General features: G+C 32.3%; 1 protein-coding gene across 1 annotated transcript; it reads left to right on the top strand.

Annotated features, from left to right (window-relative positions):
- On the top strand, positions 7,784-14,413 carry SLITRK6 (SLIT and NTRK like family member 6). Its single transcript, NM_032229.3, has 2 exons — positions 7,784-8,289; positions 10,671-14,413. The coding sequence occupies exon 2, from the start codon at positions 10,695-10,697 to the stop codon at positions 13,218-13,220; it is 2,526 nt and encodes an 841-aa protein (NP_115605.2). The 5' UTR covers positions 7,784-8,289; positions 10,671-10,694; the 3' UTR covers positions 13,221-14,413.

Raw genomic sequence — 20,393 nt, 5'->3', positions numbered from 1 at the left:
CGTGTAGATTAGCTATAGTAGTTACATTCATGTGGAGTGCTCACAGGTATACATACATATGCCTTATTTTTATTAATGTTATTAATTAAATACCTAAGGTTAAAAAAACATGTAGGATAGTTTGATTCTGCTTAATAACTGCAGCATGTTATCTCCCTCTCTTATTTTTTTAGATAAACTTTTAATTCTTTGTAAGGACATGCTAAGAAATGGTCAATGATTCCTAAAAATGCAGTCTGTAATACCTTGCTTATAATCATGTTAATATTTGGTTGTTCATTGTTTCTTAAAAATCTACTTTTAAAACACCAGAATAATAATTATGATCCGGCAGTAGAACAACTACACATATAATCTATATATTTAGAGTAAAACTTGAACAGTAGCAGCATACTATCCAACTCTTTCAGTAGGTAAGAATTTCTTTAAAAATCCACCAGGGGGTGCTAGAAGAGTAAAAATGCCTTGAACCAAGGACGGTGTTAGGAATGATTCTCTTAACTCTTATTAATATTATACAAATTTTCAAGGTTGGTTTTAGGTTGAAAACCCTGTTTTCATTCCTTCCTTCTTCCCCCAAATCTAGGATTCTTAAAAAGTAATTTCTACTAACATCAAAGATTAGTCATATTTTGTGGAAGACGTGTCTCTAGATAAAGGAAAGAAGAGCAGGTAAGTGCTATTTTGAATCAATTCATTTCTTAAGAAAGACATGCTAGGTTTTAAATATAATTTTGCCATCAAATAATTGTTTGAAACTGTGGAACTCCTTAAATTCAGTACGTGGGAGCTACAGAAAAAATGAGGGACTGCTAGTTAGAAATACCTCTCTGATTTTTATTAGTCCCCCCCAAAAAATGACACAAAAAGAGTATTTTTTTCTGTAGTCAGGTGACGTCAAACTTAAAAGTATTTTTGAATAAAGAAATTTGAGATCCTACTTAGTGCAAATGAATATTTTATGAGGATAGAATTTGGATTTATATTGCCCAGGGAAATCTGATAGAAGATATCCACATTTTATCTGATATTTCCTCCTACAGACTATTACTAGGTCACTTCTCCTCTCTTCCTTATGAAGAATCAAGGAGAATCTGTCCATTTAAACAGGCATAACTTCATGTAGCTATTTGATTAATAGATTTTATTGGTTTTTATTATAATTTTATTAGTATTTGTATATTATTATTATATCATAATAGCTATATCCCATTTCAGTATATGGAAACATGAAAATTATAGCTAATGCTATTCTTATTTTCTTAAACATAAAATATACATGGTATTATTTTATAGGATACTCAAACTTTTGAAAAATGTTCTAAAGAAAAATTGTTCTAGAAGGGATAGTGGAGATTAATAGAGGTAAGATGTATACAGTAAAATAGTCAAAAAGATAATTATATTTACAAAAATATCCCCCTGTTTATCCTTGTAGCCTAAATTTTTCACCTTATAGCCTAAATTTTTCACATAGGTATATATATAGGAAGTGAAATGTATTTCTGTGTGTTGACTATAGACTGATTCCAAACGAATAACTTTCTCTTGGTATCTAAGTGAATTCTTTATAGCACAAATATTTAGTTTCTAAGTTATGTAACACTAAAAATGTTATTTACCAAGATGTATTATATCTTATATTATTTTGGAATTTTTCAGTAAAATTTCTGCTAATAAAAAAGCCAATATCATTCAGTAAAACCTGTCAGTAATGATTTATTCACTATGTAGGTTAATATAATACCCACTGATGGCAGTAATAGTTCAGTAAATGTCTTTTTATGTTAATTTCATTGTTATGAAGTCAAAATGTACAAACTTAAAAATGTACCAATTTATCTGTTGAACTATGCACTTCTATTTCTCAACAAATGTGTACCTTACCAATTACTTTCTTTATAGCCTATAGATGCAGTTGTAACAAAGTATTTTATTTCTGTCCAGACAAATGTAAAGTTTGGCATTTAAGTTTGCATGACAACTAATCAACCTTACGTTGTCATTGGCATTATTTAAATTCTTTATCATTTTAGATATGTCTCTTTTGATGTCTAAAAATAACATTCATATTAAATATGTAGAATAAGCAATTAGTTTTTGAACAGCATCTTCTTGAGTATTATTTGTGCATATAAAATTAAAAAGCTATTACTTTTACTCAACTATGTGGAGATGATCTCCAGAGAGATGATCTCAAATAATAGTTAAAAAAAAATGTATAGCTGTGCTTGATACGGATAATCTTGGTTTTGACAGCTTTATTGTAAGTTGAAATAAATGCAATTGACTTTTTGTAAAATGGTTGTATATTATAATTTTTTAAGATTATAGCTATTAAAATAAGTTTGCATCCCTCAATGACACAGCAATCGGTGATAAGCAGAGGCAGTGATGTATGATTCTTGATTGACAATAGAAGACATCCGGGAATTTTAATATGTCCTGCAGGGTGTTCACCAAGCATCTGATCTATCACAAATATTTAATTATGTGGCATTTGCCTACTCTTATTATTAAGCATCTGAATATAAAATAATTTAGTTGCATAGATTGTGTTAGTACAATTACCAAACAACATTTGGAAATATACAGGGGATCAATTTATTTATTTTTAATTTTTAATCTTGATCCATAGCATTTAGTTATATGGGTGCCAAAAATCTGTCTTTATACATTCCTGAAGAACAAGGAAGTAACTATCCTAAGATTACACAACCGTGAGAACATCCAAAAAAACAACTTATTTGACTGTTTTCCATGTGCAACACATACTATAGTGCTATGGAGAAAAAATATGAAGTAGACATAAGCCCTTCCTTAGAGTGTCTCCCTACAGTCAAAATAACTCACAATCTAGAATTATTCCAATGCATCTTGTTCTCTTGCACATTGTTCATTATGCATCGTGTAAACATTTATTCACAATTTTTTTGGTTCATTTTTCAGGTATTTTTTAAGTTTGCTTGGTCCTCCATTTGAAGTAGGAATTTTTATGAAATTTTTCAATAGGATTTATATGAAGACAGACTGGTCATAGCTTAAGCTTTCAGAGGAAAGTTATTGTTTCGTTTTCTTTTAGATTTTGCCAGGTTAAACAAGGGTATTAGAGAATTCCTTTGTGTTCACTGAATTAAAACCACCAAGAGGAAGTTTTTATTACAAAACTTCTCTTAGAATAAAGCACTCCCTGTATCAGTTTTATACCTTTGCTATTAGATCAAATTAAGTATGGAGGAAACATAAGACTTACATAACAAATTAAACTTTTAGTTAAAGGTACAATGCAAAAGGCAAGTTTCCTAAACATACATCCAGTTCAATGTTATCTTCATGGTGAGGCCTTCCTCCAATTCCCCAAAGTGACTTACTTAATCGCTTCTTCCTCTGTATTTCCATAGTGTTTTTTCTAGTCTTTTTATCCATTATATATCCATAAAATATTATATCTATCTTATACGTGTCCTCTAAGACACATGACCTTTCATTGAGATAAGTCATACATGATGAACATTGTGCCAATGACCTACTTATCTACAGATGTGTGTATATTGCAAAAGTTAGGAACATTTTCTATTCTTCATCATCTAAAAGTTAGTCTCTTAGTTTAATTGTATGTTGTTATCAGAAGTCAAGATATCCATAATAATTAAACTCTTATTCTTAGGCAACAGAAAAAGTAATGTTTAGAAAGTGTTTTTGTCCTCTTCCAGTGAAACATGAAAGAACACCCTGGGTTCACAATCTGAAAATTGTGTAGCATACAATTTCAAAAGATGAAAGGCAACATTCTTCTATTATTATATTCTATGAATTGGATTTATGTAAATAAGTCAATTGTGTATTTAAGTAGACTTTACTCATTGTTCTTTTTAAATATTATTTTCTCATTTTATAAAAGTTATTACTTGTGTACACAATAAAGAGAATGAAAATATAAAATAAACATTTGAGTTAAATTTAAGCTATGGAATTGCTAGTGAATTTTATTTTTTCTTATTTATTTTGCATTTTTAAAGTTTCTTAGTGAAACAAAGACACTTTTCAAAAGGTATATTCAAACTTAAAGAAAACTTTTGGTGCAAAATAAAATAATTTTTTAAATATTTATAAAATTAGTGTATCAGGGTCTCTAGAGACTGTGTATTTATGCATTATTTGTAAGTATTTGTTATATTTTATTTTAGTAGCATTATCATGAGTTTCAGTGTAATTTCCTGACAGTACAAAGAAAGCAGAGCCCACAATACTATGTTTCCCAATAATGTGTTTAATATTCCTTTTAAAACAATCAAATAAGTATGTAAAAAGTGAAACTGAGTAAGATTATTTAATTTTTTTTCAAAGAGTGAAATGACTAGCTAATATTTAAAATTCCCTAGAGTATTATCATCCCCCCCAAATCACCAAGTTTCATACTTTCTAACTTCAGAGTATTTAAATATGCCTTTGTCTACACCACAGATGGTACAGAGTTCTCTCCCTGCAAGGCTTTCAGATTTTTGAATTAAACTCAATCTCACACATCTTCACTTTACCTCTTAAATGTGACACTAAAAAAGGTGGAAAGCCACTCTAAGGTGGAACTGGTCCTATTTAGAATGAATAAATCTCATTGTTTTACTTTTTTCTTTTCTTTTTCCAGTGCTCATTCTTGGTCTTTTCATTCTATTTGTACCGTACACACTATCAGTTCAACAAATTTCATAAAACATTCTACCACATAGTCTTTGAGGTCATCGGCTATTAAGATGATCTCCCCACATCCATGAAAGCAGGGAGGGAAGGACTTCACTTCCTATGTCCTCATGCACAATAAAATATGCTGATGGTAGGCTGCCGCTCTAAAATTAATAACAGAGATGGGTTTATTTCTTCTGACTGCTTGGTATAATTCAATGCAATTGTAATACTTTTATGTTGGCCCTTTAGAAATATACACTCTGAAAGCAGAGATATTGTTAAATGTCACAATAACACATAATTTACAGGTTGTGATTAAAAATAATTAATAAAAAAAATTTAGCCAGGCATGGTGGTGGGCACCTGTTATCCCAGCTACTTGGGAGGCTGAGGCAGGAGAATTGCTTGAAGCCAGGAGACTGAGGTTGCAGTGAGCCAACACTCCAGCCTGGGCAACAGAGTGAGACTCCATCTCAAAAAATATTATTATTATTAATAATTAGCCTGTAATCCTAGCACTTTGGGAGGCCAAGATGGGAGGGTCACTTGAGGCCAGGAGTTTGAGAACAGCCTGGGAAACCTGGTAAGACCCCCATCTCTATAAAAAAAATAAAAGAATCAACTGGGCATGGTAGTGCATGCCCCAAGTCCCAGGTACTTATTATGAGGCTGAGATGGGAGGATCTCTTGAGCCTAGGAGTTGGAGGTTACTGTGAGCTGCGATTGCACCACTGTACTCCAGCCTGGATAACAGAGTGAGACCCTGTCTCTATATATAATAACAATAATAATAATACATAATAATAATTTGAAGTTACGGGGGAGCAGGCATAGATTAGGTGGGAAGATAAATAAAATTCATTGTTTATTATAATCATGTGATGAATTTATTATTAAAACTACACTAAGAAAGTACTTTCCCATTGATTACTTGGAAATTAAAAATATTGTTAAAATAAATGTTGTTCAATAATCATTAGCACATATCCTGCCATAATAAACATTTTGGAAAAAATGGCTACAGTACTGATTTGATATAATGACTGAAGAATTACAGTGAAAAAAACCTAGAGAACAGCAGACTTGTCTACGATCTTTTCAGATGTGCTAGTGTATATTTTAACTAAGTTTGAGATAATGCTGAGTAATTCATTATCAACATTACCACTTTAAATTAAAAGTTATAGATTGCTCCTCAAATAATTTTTTTTTAGTTTTTTATTCCCAATGAAAGCTTATAGAACAACTGAATAATTTTTTTTTAAAAAAGTGTGTTTAGTCAATATTTCTCTCCCTTACCATCATGGGGAATTGACCAGTAATTACTGCAATTGCCCAGTAATTTATGCACTAAAAAGACAAGATTCATTATGTAGGAAAGGAATTCATGATAAAAATCTTCAAATTTCTGCTATGTGTATATGACTGATAAAATAGATACATGATCAAATTGAAGGACATGAGAGAAACATGTGTCAATCTACAAAGAAATTACTTTCATTTGTCCATATGTAGGCTTGAAAAATTTTGCTCCACATACTATGCTACTAGAATATTTCTCCTATGCACTTGACTGCAAAACCTAAAGGAATGCATGTGAAAAATTAGGACTACAGGGTTGGGAGGGAAATTATTCTTGCCCCTTCTTTTTTTATTGATTAAAATTCTAATTTCTAACTATCTATCTAAATAATTACCTTGATTTAATTAATTTGGCTAGCAGCTAGCAGGAAATTGTGCCAAACACTAATTATTTATATTTAACTTCACTTATACTCTTCATTCTCTCATTTTTTTATTTTTATTGTATTTTCGAACCCCCTCCTCTGTATCATCATCTCTTTTCCATGTTAAAGCACAAAATGTCATTAAAATAAACGAGAAACTTAATTACTGGGAAATATAAAGTAAAGTGAGAATACTGAAAATTCCCACAGAGCCCTTATGTGTTTAGAGCCAATATACCACCCTGAGACGATAAAACTATATCAATCTGAGTGTATGTCATTAAATAATAATGTGATATTCTTCTATTTTGATGATTTAAACTATATCAACTCTCCTTTTTAAAAACAGCACTTTCTGAAATGACACCTACTATTACATAGAAGGCCTCTAGAATCTGTATTTATTCTAAACAGAATAAACAAATAAAAGACAGCATCTAGTATATGCACTTTGGATGTGAAAAAGTTCAGGAAGGTAGGTAAGAAGAATAACTTTTTAAACCACAGGCTTTTTGAGAAATAAGGAATCTGACAAGAGTAATAATGGTGATGATTCAGAAACTTTTAAGAGCTGAAGAAACACGCAACTTTTAAGATATAACCTATTAAGAATAAATTCTCTCTGAGCTAGCACTATACAAATCAGGTTATTGTAATATCTACATATTTCACTTGTTTCATTTTATCTGTAAAGATATAATGTTATATTTTTGAAAGTGATAAACAGAACTTTATCAATGATAATTATTTTGTGTTTAAAGATTTTTAAATATATTTTAAAATAATTATGCTTTTCTTCTAAATAAATATATTAAAATAACTGAAAGATCTTCATTTCTAAGTTTAATTATTGAATATTAGCTCTAGGGAAAGAAATAATGAAGTAAAAACTTAGAGTCCCTAACATAAGGCTTTAAAAAAGTTAAATGGTGAATACAAAAATACAAATATTGCAGGGAAGCAGTTCGTGTTAACATTTTACAATCTAGTTAGTGCACAATTTCAACTATAAATACCAGATTTAAAAAAAAAAAGAAAAAAAAGAGGCAACTACTCTATAGGCAGCATTCTTGTGTTTCCTGCACACATGTGTGCAAACACTACAGAACAGTGTTAGTTGAGAATTTAACATAACGTATTATTTAGCTTGCTATAACACAATGTACTATTAAGCATTTAAAATGACGTGTTATTATTTCCATCAAAATTCACTTGCACTATATTTGGTATTGAAAGGAGTGGAAAGACCATTTGCAGAAAGAGGAGGAGTTGAGCAGTCCCAAGGTGGAGCTGTCTCTTGTGTTATATGACACTGGCAGATTAAAACGCTCTGATGGGGAAGGGCTTAAAGGCTGAGTCAAAAGCCAAGAAGTCTCTTTATTTACGCCTACCTCCCAGCCCTTGGCAATCTGACTAATAACAAACTGAGCTAACAAGAAATACTAGAAAAGGAGGAAGGAGAACATTGCTGTAGCTTGGATCTACAACCTAAGAAAGCAAGAGTGATCAATCTCAGCTCTGTTAAACATCTTGTTTACTTACTGCATTCAGCAGCTTGCAAATGGTTAACTATATGCAAAAAAGTCAGCATAGCTGTGAAGTATGCCGTGAATTTTAATTGAGGGAAAAAGGGACAATTGCTTCAGGATGCTCTAGTATGCACTCTGCTTGAAATATTTTCAATGAAATGCTCAGTATTCTATCTTTGACCAGAGGTTTTAACTTTATGAAGCTATGGGACTTGACAAAAAGTGATATTTGAGAAGAAAGTACGCAGTGGTTGGTGTTTTCTTTTTTTTAATAAAGGAATTGAATTACTTTGAACACCTCTTCCAGCTGTGCATTACAGATAACGTCAGGAAGAGTCTCTGCTTTACAGGTAAGATGAATGTTTCCAGGCTTTTCTTATACTTATTTTTGCATTATAGTAAAGTGATTGAATTTGTATGTTCGCTTCCTTTAAATAAACAACTTTGCATTAAAGGATACTCAATTTCATTCTTGCTTACTGGCACAACTAACACTGGAGCAGATGCCTGTATTCTCTGAGAAGCAGACATTTAGTCTAACAGCTGGCTACAGAGAAGAACAAATATAATATTCCACTATTTCTTTTGCAACATGCAGTTTGTTGTTAGAAACTAAATATGTGTGCTTTCTGAAGGAAGGATCACTTCCAAATGCGAATGTTGAATTGCAAATATAAGCAGAATATTGAATAATTCTTTGCATTTTGTATGCTACTTATTTTCTGATTTGAAAATACGTATTCTCAGAAAACATGTCAATGAGTATCTTTTGACCTCTTTACCACTGTATCAGATATTGTCAGTAGAGAACCACTTTTCACATCTGTGTGTGTTTCTGAAAAGATTAGAAACTGTTTCCTAGCACGTTTTGAAGAGCATAAAATTCATACAGGATTTACAAAATAACAAGAGTTTATCACTGAAAAATTATTTACTATTTTCTCTGATGCTATACCTGGTGAAATAAATCTTATTCTTTCTTGGTAATTTATGAATAAGTACTTTTAGTGATTGTGGAAGCTAATCCACAAGTTGAAGACTCCAACTACAAGCTGCTTGTTTATAAACTCAGCACACAAAGCTGTTTAAAATCAAATTATTTACCTACAGAAAAATAAAATCTTCTAACTTTCCCTTTACACAGAGGCAGTATGTTGTTTTGTTTCTTCAGTTGCCTTTTGCCTTTCAGGAACTTTGTACTATATGTGTTTTCAATAAAACACTATGTTTTCAGGGAATGCAAGTTTACTTTCAGGATTGTTGATTGGGTTCTGGTATGTTTTACCTGATTGTGAATTTTAATTTGATTCAGTTACTGTTCATATTTCAAACAACAAAAATGAAAACTGATTACTATTTTGAAAAGTTGAATAGTCATAAGATGTGTTTATATTTCAATTTAGTTTATATAAGTTTAAAGTATAATATTTAAAGGAAGGAAATAAAATTAGATCTCATTAGAGCTATAAATGTTTACCTTGCATAACTGTCATTTAAAGGGCAAAACCTTTTTAAGAATTGCTGTTTCAGATGCATTTGTTATGTGTTTCAGGATTAGAATACGTGATGTTATTCTGAACCATCCTTTTTTTCTTTTACTGAATTTGAAATATCATCAAAAAGTTTAATATGGTACAGTTTGTTTCAGATTTCATTGTTTGCGACTTTAAGCCTTTTAATAAAGGCTTAAAGCTGCTTAATTATGTGATGACATTCCGTGCCCTAAAGACTGTTTCAAGACCTCATTAGGAAGTCATTTGCTAGAAGTTTATATGAAGCATTGTTTATTCTTTTACAACAGCCTGAAATGTGTGTTAAAGATTAATCTTGCTTCTTTAGTTTTTATCATTTCCACCTCATCTATAACGTAATTAAGAAGCAGTAAGCAATATACTGCTTCTAGAAATTCAATATTAAATATAATGATTTAAGTGAAATTTGAATGGTCACACTTAAGTGTATGTATCTGATACTATTACGCTTATACAAACTACCCTTGATTGAATAGTTAAAAGAGTTCTTATAGTACTGTACTTTATAACATGATCAAAGACGCATTTTCCTCAAGGTTTTCAAAATAAACAATAAAATTAGTATATATATATATATATAGCCAAAACCGAAGCAGGTTAAAACACAGACACAGTTATTAGATGTTATTGTGTGACACCCAGTTCAACAATATAAAGACAATGCATGCTACATGCGTACATGCATACACACATACACATATGCACACATACATTCTTTTATCATTTTTTACATTCCCTACAGTTCTCTATGCTTACGGCTAATAACTATGTAATTGTCTTTTACTATAATCCTCCAGCCTTAAATGTATGACCATAAGGTTAAAAAATATTTTCAAATATATAACTTTGCATCACAGTGAAGTATCAGTGCTCTAAGGCAGCATCTCTCTCATCTGTTAAAATGCAGGTTATTCATCAGATGTGAGCACAAATTTTATGATATAATATTTTAAATCCCCCTTGACCTAAATTTTATATTTTGAACACAATGCAAGTTAAAAGTCAGCCAGACTTGCCTGTCTGAGTATTAGGAAAAAAAAAAAAGAAACAAATGATGTAAATGCAGCAAGGTACCCATATTTTCATGGTAATCCGTCATTTGCTTTTTGGAGAAAAACCTATTATTTTGAAAATATCAGCTTCATCTCCTCCCCAGTTCTGCCCACTAAAGTCCCTTGCTATTGCGTTTTATTTTACAGAATCGGATTTCATCACATGACAACATGAAGCTGTGGATTCATCTCTTTTATTCATCTCTCCTTGCCTGTATATCTTTACACTCCCAAACTCCAGTGCTCTCATCCAGAGGCTCTTGTGATTCTCTTTGCAATTGTGAGGAAAAAGATGGCACAATGCTAATAAATTGTGAAGCAAAAGGTATCAAGATGGTATCTGAAATAAGTGTGCCACCATCACGACCTTTCCAACTAAGCTTATTAAATAACGGCTTGACGATGCTTCACACAAATGACTTTTCTGGGCTTACCAATGCTATTTCAATACACCTTGGATTTAACAATATTGCAGATATTGAGATAGGTGCATTTAATGGCCTTGGCCTCCTGAAACAACTTCATATCAATCACAATTCTTTAGAAATTCTTAAAGAGGATACTTTCCATGGACTGGAAAACCTGGAATTCCTGCAAGCAGATAACAATTTTATCACAGTGATTGAACCAAGTGCCTTTAGCAAGCTCAACAGACTCAAAGTGTTAATTTTAAATGACAATGCTATTGAGAGTCTTCCTCCAAACATCTTCCGATTTGTTCCTTTAACCCATCTAGATCTTCGTGGAAATCAATTACAAACATTGCCTTATGTTGGTTTTCTCGAACACATTGGCCGAATATTGGATCTTCAGTTGGAGGACAACAAATGGGCCTGCAATTGTGACTTATTGCAGTTAAAAACTTGGTTGGAGAACATGCCTCCACAGTCTATAATTGGTGATGTTGTCTGCAACAGCCCTCCATTTTTTAAAGGAAGTATACTCAGTAGACTAAAGAAGGAATCTATTTGCCCTACTCCACCAGTGTATGAAGAACATGAGGATCCTTCAGGATCATTACATCTGGCAGCAACATCTTCAATAAATGATAGTCGCATGTCAACTAAGACCACGTCCATTCTAAAACTACCCACCAAAGCACCAGGTTTGATACCTTATATTACAAAGCCATCCACTCAACTTCCAGGACCTTACTGCCCTATTCCTTGTAACTGCAAAGTCCTATCCCCATCAGGACTTCTAATACATTGTCAGGAGCGCAACATTGAAAGCTTATCAGATCTGAGACCTCCTCCGCAAAATCCTAGAAAGCTCATTCTAGCGGGAAATATTATTCACAGTTTAATGAAGTCTGATCTAGTGGAATATTTCACTTTGGAAATGCTTCACTTGGGAAACAATCGTATTGAAGTTCTTGAAGAAGGATCGTTTATGAACCTAACGAGATTACAAAAACTCTATCTAAATGGTAACCACCTGACCAAATTAAGTAAAGGCATGTTCCTTGGTCTCCATAATCTTGAATACTTATATCTTGAATACAATGCCATTAAGGAAATACTGCCAGGAACCTTTAATCCAATGCCTAAACTTAAAGTCCTGTATTTAAATAACAACCTCCTCCAAGTTTTACCACCACATATTTTTTCAGGGGTTCCTCTAACTAAGGTAAATCTTAAAACAAACCAGTTTACCCATCTACCTGTAAGTAATATTTTGGATGATCTTGATTTGCTAACCCAGATTGACCTTGAGGATAACCCCTGGGACTGCTCCTGTGACCTGGTTGGACTGCAGCAATGGATACAAAAGTTAAGCAAGAACACAGTGACAGATGACATCCTCTGCACTTCCCCCGGGCATCTCGACAAAAAGGAATTGAAAGCCCTAAATAGTGAAATTCTCTGTCCAGGTTTAGTAAATAACCCATCCATGCCAACACAGACTAGTTACCTTATGGTCACCACTCCTGCAACAACAACAAATACGGCTGATACTATTTTACGATCTCTTACGGACGCTGTGCCACTGTCTGTTCTAATATTGGGACTTCTGATTATGTTCATCACTATTGTTTTCTGTGCTGCAGGGATAGTGGTTCTTGTTCTTCACCGCAGGAGAAGATACAAAAAGAAACAAGTAGATGAGCAAATGAGAGACAACAGTCCTGTGCATCTTCAGTACAGCATGTATGGCCATAAAACCACTCATCACACTACTGAAAGACCCTCTGCCTCACTCTATGAACAGCACATGGTGAGCCCCATGGTTCATGTCTATAGAAGTCCATCCTTTGGTCCAAAGCATCTGGAAGAGGAAGAAGAGAGGAATGAGAAAGAAGGAAGTGATGCAAAACATCTCCAAAGAAGTCTTTTGGAACAGGAAAATCATTCACCACTCACAGGGTCAAATATGAAATACAAAACCACGAACCAATCAACAGAATTTTTATCCTTCCAAGATGCCAGCTCATTGTACAGAAACATTTTAGAAAAAGAAAGGGAACTTCAGCAACTGGGAATCACAGAATACCTAAGGAAAAACATTGCTCAGCTCCAGCCTGATATGGAGGCACATTATCCTGGAGCCCACGAAGAGCTGAAGTTAATGGAAACATTAATGTACTCACGTCCAAGGAAGGTATTAGTGGAACAGACAAAAAATGAGTATTTTGAACTTAAAGCTAATTTACATGCTGAACCTGACTATTTAGAAGTCCTGGAGCAGCAAACATAGATGGAGAGTTTGAGGGCTTTCGCAGAAATGCTGTGATTCTGTTTTAAGTCCATACCTTGTAAATAAGTGCCTTACGTGAGTGTGTCATCAATCAGAACCTAAGCACAGCAGTAAACTATGGGGAAAAAAAAAGAAGAAGAAAAAGAAACTCAGGGATCACTGGGAGAAGCCATGGCATTATCTTCAGGCAATTTAGTCTGTCCCAAATAAAATAAATCCTTGCATGTAAATCATTCAAGGATTATAGTAATATTTCATATACTGAAAAGTGTCTCATAGGAGTCCTCTTGCACATCTAAAAAGGCTGAACATTTAAGTATCCCGAATTTTCTTGAATTGCTTTCCCTATAGATTAATTACAATTGGATTTCATCATTTAAAAACCATACTTGTATATGTAGTTATAATATGTAAGGAATACATTGTTTATAACCAGTATGTACTTCAAAAATGTGTATTGTCAAACATACCTAACTTTCTTGCAATAAATGCAAAAGAAACTGGAACTTGACAATTATAAATAGTAATAGTGAAGAAAAAATAGAAAGGTTGCAATTATATAGGCCATGGGTGGCTCAAAACTTTGAACATTTGAGCTTAAACAAATGCCACTCTCATGCATTCTAAATTAAAAAGTTAAAATGATTAATAGTTCAGGTGGAAGAAATAAGCATACTTTTTGGGTTTTCTACACATTTTGTGTAGACAATTTTAATGTCAGTGCTGCTGTGAACTAAAGTATGTCATTTATGCTCAAAGTTTAATTCTTCTTCTTGGGATATTTTAAAAATGCTACTGAGATTCTGCTGTAAATATGACTAGAGAATATATTGGGTTTGCTTTATTTCATAGGCTTAATTCTTTGTAAATCTGAATGACCATAATAGAAATACATTTCTTGTGGCAAGTAATTCACAGTTGTAAAGTAAATAGGAAAAATTATTTTATTTTTATTGATGTACATTGATAGATGCCATAAATCAGTAGCAAAAGGCACTTCTAAAGGTAAGTGGTTTAAGTTGCCTCAAGAGAGGGACAATGTAGCTTTATTTTACAAGAAGGCATAGTTAGATTTCTATGAAATATTTATTCTGTACAGTTTTATATAGTTTTGGTTCACAAAAGTAATTATTCTTGGGTGCCTTTCAAGAAAATTAAAAATACTACTCACTACAATAAAACTAAAATGAAAACTCTTTTTTAAATGTGCTTTCTTAAATGCACGACAAGCTTTACTTGTCATGCAATCAAGTAAGGATTAACACACATACACACAAACATACAGACACACACACACACACACTGCAGGAGGTTTCTATTTGTTGTTTACACACAGAAGTATCTTGTTCATGTTGTGAAAAAGACTATTTGATTTTTGGTATGCTTAACAGGGAGCCAAATTTAAAGTATGTCTAGCAGTTTTCCCTTTCAAGCAAATCATTTTCTAATGCAACGTAAAAGGAAATGTTTTATTTCTATCGTTTCTAATTATAGAATCAATCATACCTGCACACTTTCACAAGGCAAAGTGAAATTAGTCAAGGTAATCTGGGAATGTTTTCTGAACACCACACAGAGTCATGTACTGGGCTATGAAGGAACACATTTTCCATAAGGAAGTACTCCCTTCAATTTACTCCACAATATTTCAGTGATTCTTAAATGGTCTATTAAATATTTTGGCTTTTAATATCCAACTTTGCACTAATGGCAGAATATACATTATTTATTTTATTTTTAATAAGAAGCCTTCTTGTTGATAAAAACAATATGGGCTGTGCTGCATAGTATGAAGACTATAAGTAATGTAAAATCATATCATGAGCTTTTTTCTTTAAGTTATTGTAGATATTAATGAAAATCAATCAAGAGTTATGTATTAAAAGGTTTATTGAAAACCAACATTTCTTCATTAGCTTCCAAAGTTTGGAAGCATAAAGGTGGAAATTCTTTAAATAATAATTTCTAAGGGAAAATGTGTGTGCATATGAAATGCTGGATGTTTATCTACTAAAAAATATTCAGCATGGTAAATAGTAAAATCTCCAAAACATTATTTTAAAAATTACATTCTCAAGAGAAGAACAAATAAAGGCCAGAATTCATGTTATTGCCCTTCTTTTACTCAGTCCAGTATCTGCCAATATTTTCTAATTCTGATCAGGTACATAGAGGTATTAGGAAGACTTAAGATATTCCAATGCCTGGAGAACGCTTGGAAGGGATCTATGAATGCAGACAGAGACATGCCCTCAAGAACATTCTTTTCTTTGGGATGGGGGAAATATTTCTTTAATCTTTATTTGTCGTTAATTGCCTAAAGTAATAATGTTCACTCTTTAACTTATAATGAAGAGGAACAAAGTTGTTTAAGAAGCCATGTAAGTATATCCCCAAAATCAAAGTACAATCCTTATTCTGAATGTAACTTAAAACTGACATGGAAATTACAATCGTTTCCAAAAACAAGAGATTTTAACGGTTTAAATGTTTCATTCACGACTCTTTGTGGAATTTGTTTTCCTACTGGTTGTTGAGAGTTGAGAAAGGTAATGATGGTCTCTAATTCTTTGGGATCTATGAGACTTTCTCAGAACTTTGATTATTTGACCTGAATTTCCAATTTCTTCTCCTTCCCACTAAAGAATAACTTTTATTATACTCCTTGTTTGATTGTTCACTTAAGCAATCAATTTGGTCTCTTTCAGCAGCTAATTGACAGATTCAGAATTCCAATTCCTCTTTCAGTATCCTCAGCGTTATTCACCTGAACCTGGCCATTAAAAAAAAAAAAAGTAGACTTTTAATTATCTTAGCTTTGCTTCTTGATTTAAACAGAAGTTACATTTTGCCCACTGCACATCAATGCAATTTATGACTCATGTCCAAAAAATGAAATTTTGTAATATAGTGGTAGTAGTGTATAATCATCCTGGATAAATCTTTTTAATATAAGTCAATTTATTTGATATTGGTTGTATTAATACTTATTTAACAAACCATTTTTTACTAAATTACATGAAATTACTTACTGTAAAGTTATAAAAGTGTTCTTCTGATATCTTTCATTTATCTCCATCAATGGGATGGAAATTTTCCTCTCTATAAGAAAGAATTATATCAGTGATGTTACCCTCTTTGAAAGAATCTCTTATATCATGGAGGAGAGAAAGCCCTTCCCTGCTGCTATAATATTAAATAAACTGCAGCACTATCTAAGCTGCCTTAAGCTGCCTGAATGCCTTTGCCCAATTAATTAAAAATGCTTAATCCTTGATTCAGGATTAAAGAATGTGACACGAGCATCCCTTTGTCATTAAAATGACACTTTTAAAAATAATGGTTTATTCTCTTCCTTTATGCCCTTCCATATATTATATGTATATGTATGTACAAACACACACACACACACATACAAAAACAGGTGAGAGAGAGAGAGAGACCTAATAAAGATGTGGTAAGTCATCTCAATATACCTGTAATTTATTTTGCATTTCTCATTATTTTATGATAGCTAATAACTATGTAATCAACAGCACTTTTTAAGAAGAGGAATACTACCAACTTGAATAATTGTTTTGCCATAAACTGTTTATTTTTTAATAAAAATCAACACAAATATCCAAAGACAGCTCACCAAGGTTCCCCATATATGAGTTTCTGCAAGATTATTTTAGGAGATTGTTTTCTACATAAAAAGAAAATTGCCCATGTGTATACAGGTGGTAACTATTTGGGAAGGGAAGGCTGAATCTCCTGGTAGTTAAGAAATGGTTTTACAGTGAATTTGAGGGTTCTTCTCTATTTCTTTTCCCTGTAGAGCACTTCTATGAAGAAGTTGGGGTATCATAAAAGGACAAGCTTTTATTGTAAAATAAGACACAATTAAAAGACTTTCTCAGGAGGAGTGGTCTTATATCTGGCAGCCACATCAAGAATGATCACATTGATAATTATATTATTTAACAACCAAATATTTTTTGGAAAAAAACATTATCTGTCTTACAACTAGCTTTTTTTAAAAGGCAAATTTTATTTATTATATTTGCATTAATTCTTATGTATAGGTAACATAAAGAAGACTGCCAGATGTAAAATCCTCTTCTAGCTGCTTTGAAAGCAAAATCAAATAGACAAATACTCTTCTGTTAGTAAATGTCTTTCAGCAGATTAGTGAATGAAGAAAGGAAACAATTCAAAACAACAATTTACACACACACAGGTTCACGTATTTCCAATTTAAATTATTTAAAATTGTACACTTTCTAAAAAGAGTACTTTTGGTTTAGAATTTTGAAACAGGAAGAGCAGGAAGACCTGACCTTCCACAGGTAATTATTTGCCTCTTCACATCTCTTAGGTTCTACCAGTGAGAAAATGGATTATATAATGAGTAAGGTATTTTGAATTGCTTGTCTTGTAGAAAATTTCTGGGCATTGAAATGGCATTTCATTGTATTTGGTTTTATAGAAGTCTTGAAGAGACACTACACACAAAAATAATCATTCTTGCCAAAATGAACTTGATTTATTTTAAACTCATATTGTTATCAGTGATGAAATCACCATTAGTGAATGTATGTTAAGTGTATTTTCATCCATTTCCTTGGTGTTGTAAGTAATCAAAAGACTTATAAGCCCTTGTTATTGTCTTTGCATAATAAATAATGCCATATGTTAATATAGCAATACATAGTAGAAGAAAGTTAACATTAGGGTTCAAAGGAGTTCTGATCCTCAAAAATCAGATCAGTTTAAATGCTACGTATGGTTTCATCCAGTAAGTTTTCCATGGACACAATTTGGGCCTGTTCCTAGCATTCCGAAGTACTTTGGTTTAACGAATATATATTTGAAGAAAACAATGCACTGTGATACAGCAAACACAATTCCTAGATATAAGCACATCATAAACTTTATCAATTCTAACTTTCTCTTTTAGAAAATGAAGGAGCTAAGGGGTTTGCCTAGCACTATATAAGTAGTGAGAGTAACAAGGCCAGAATTGGAACCCTGTTTGATTGATGCTGTTAATTTACATTGTTTTGCTTTATTCTCAGGGCAGTGGTCCTCATCAGACTCTTGTTATAATCAAACATATTTACAGGGCATGTGAAATCACAGAAAACGTACGTTTTGCCATTGTGCACACGCTGCTTCTATGTTTAGGTAGGACACTGTGAGTTTTTAACATCTTATTGAAAAAAATGGAGACACTTCACTAACTTTAGTCATGGAGTACCTAATTCTAGATTATTCAGAATGATATATTAGCAGATTTTAGATACAGCTTTACAAATGCTGACTGATTTATCAGACTGAACAACATGTACATCTGGCAACCAGAAAGTCATTGTTTGGTTTCTTTTTTCTAATTCTGAATACTTATTTACTATTTATCAATACCAACTTTTAGGAATTTGTTTTATTTCATAGAATAAAATATTGACAAAGTAGTTAACATACAGACAGTTCTAATGATAATACATTAATTTAAAACTTCTATAAACAATATGTGATTTAAGTGTTATTAGAATTATCATATACACAAAGATTATGGTGACAGATATTTTCATGTTTTAATGTTTTAAGATATCTGACTGTAGTAACCTTTGTTTTCATGGTGCAGCTTGTAAGTTAAAGATTACTATCTCAATGAATGTGTCATTTGAATCCTAAAGAGACACCCATATAGTGTGAGGAATTTTGTTCCCTTTTAAATGGACTTTATTTTTTAGAGCAGTTTTGGGTTCACAGCAAAGTTGACTAAAAAGTACAGAGTTGCCATATATCCCTTGTTCCCACACAAGCACAGCCTCCCCAGCTATCAATATCTAGCAACAAGCTGGTGCATTTGTTATAATTAATGAACCTACTTTTACACATTATTATCACCCAAAGTGAACTGTTTACGTTAGTGTTCATTTTTCTATATTCTGTGGGTTTTGACCAATGTCCCCACAATTGTAGTATTCTGTAGAATGGTGTCACTGTCCTAAAAACTGCCTGAGCTTTGTCTAGTTATTGATCTTTTTACTGCTGTGATAGTTTTGTGTTTTCTAGAATGTCATAGAGTTGGAATCATAATATATATCCTTTTCAAACTGGCTTCTTTCACTCAGTAATACACATTAAAGATTCCTCAATGTCCTTTCATTTCTTGACAGCTCATTTCTTCCTGGGCACTGAATAATATTCCATGACGTACCACAACTTATTTACCCATTTACTTACTAAAGAAATTCTTGGTTTCTTCCAAGATTTGACAAATATAAATAAAGCTGCTATAAGCATTTTGTGTGGAGATTTTTGCACGGATATGCATTTTCAACACATTTGGGTAAATAATACCAAGGAACGTGATTGCTGGATTGCATATCATAATAAGTCTGTGTTTTGCTTTCTAAGCAACTAACCGTCTACTAAAGTGGCTGCACAATTTTGCATTCCCACCAACAATGAATGAAGAATTGTTGTTCCACATCCTCATCAGCTCTTGGTGTTGTCAGTTGTCTGACTTTTGACCATTCTAATTTTATCTCATTGTTGTCTTAATTTACATTTCCCTGATGACATGTAATGTGGATCATCTTTCCATATATTTATGGCCATACATATACCTTCTTTGCTGAGGTTATCTGTTTAGGTCTTTCCCTCTTTTTTATCCAAATGTTCATTTTCTTTTTGTTGAATTTTAAGAGTTCTTTGTATAATTTAGGTAAAAATCTTTTATTAGATTTGTTTTGTTTTGTACTTATTCTATGCCAGTCTATGGCTTGTTTTCCCATTTGCTTGACAGTGTCATTTACAGAGCAGAAGTTTTTAATTTTAATTAAGTCTAGTGTATAATGTTTTTTTAAAATAGTGCCTTTGGTGGTACCTGTATAAAGTCATCTCCATGCCCAAGATCATCTAGATTTTCTATGTTATCTTCTCAGAATTTTTGTTTTGCATTTTACATTGAGGTATATGATCCATTTTGATTTAATTTTTGTGAAGGTTGTAAGGTCTGTATCTAGATCATTTATTTGCACGTAAATGCCCACTTGTTCCACCACTGTTTCTTGAAAAGACAATATATGAAAGATTTTTTAAAATCACCTACAATTTAAAAATAATTTATTTATTTACAATATATTTCATTTTAGCCTTTACATTTAATACTTGATGTCC

This window comes from Homo sapiens, chromosome 13 (genome assembly GCF_000001405.40).
Source record: "Homo sapiens chromosome 13, GRCh38.p14 Primary Assembly".
NCBI lineage: Eukaryota > Metazoa > Chordata > Mammalia > Primates > Hominidae > Homo > Homo sapiens.
Note: the sequence above shows the minus strand (reverse complement) of the source record. Positions and strands in the feature narration are given on the sequence as shown.

What these genes read in the sequence shown, in the direction of transcription:
- SLITRK6 (NM_032229.3), top strand. Translation starts at nt 10,695, where the DNA reads ATGAAGCTGTGGATTCATCTCTTTTATTCATCTCTCCTTGCCTGTATA.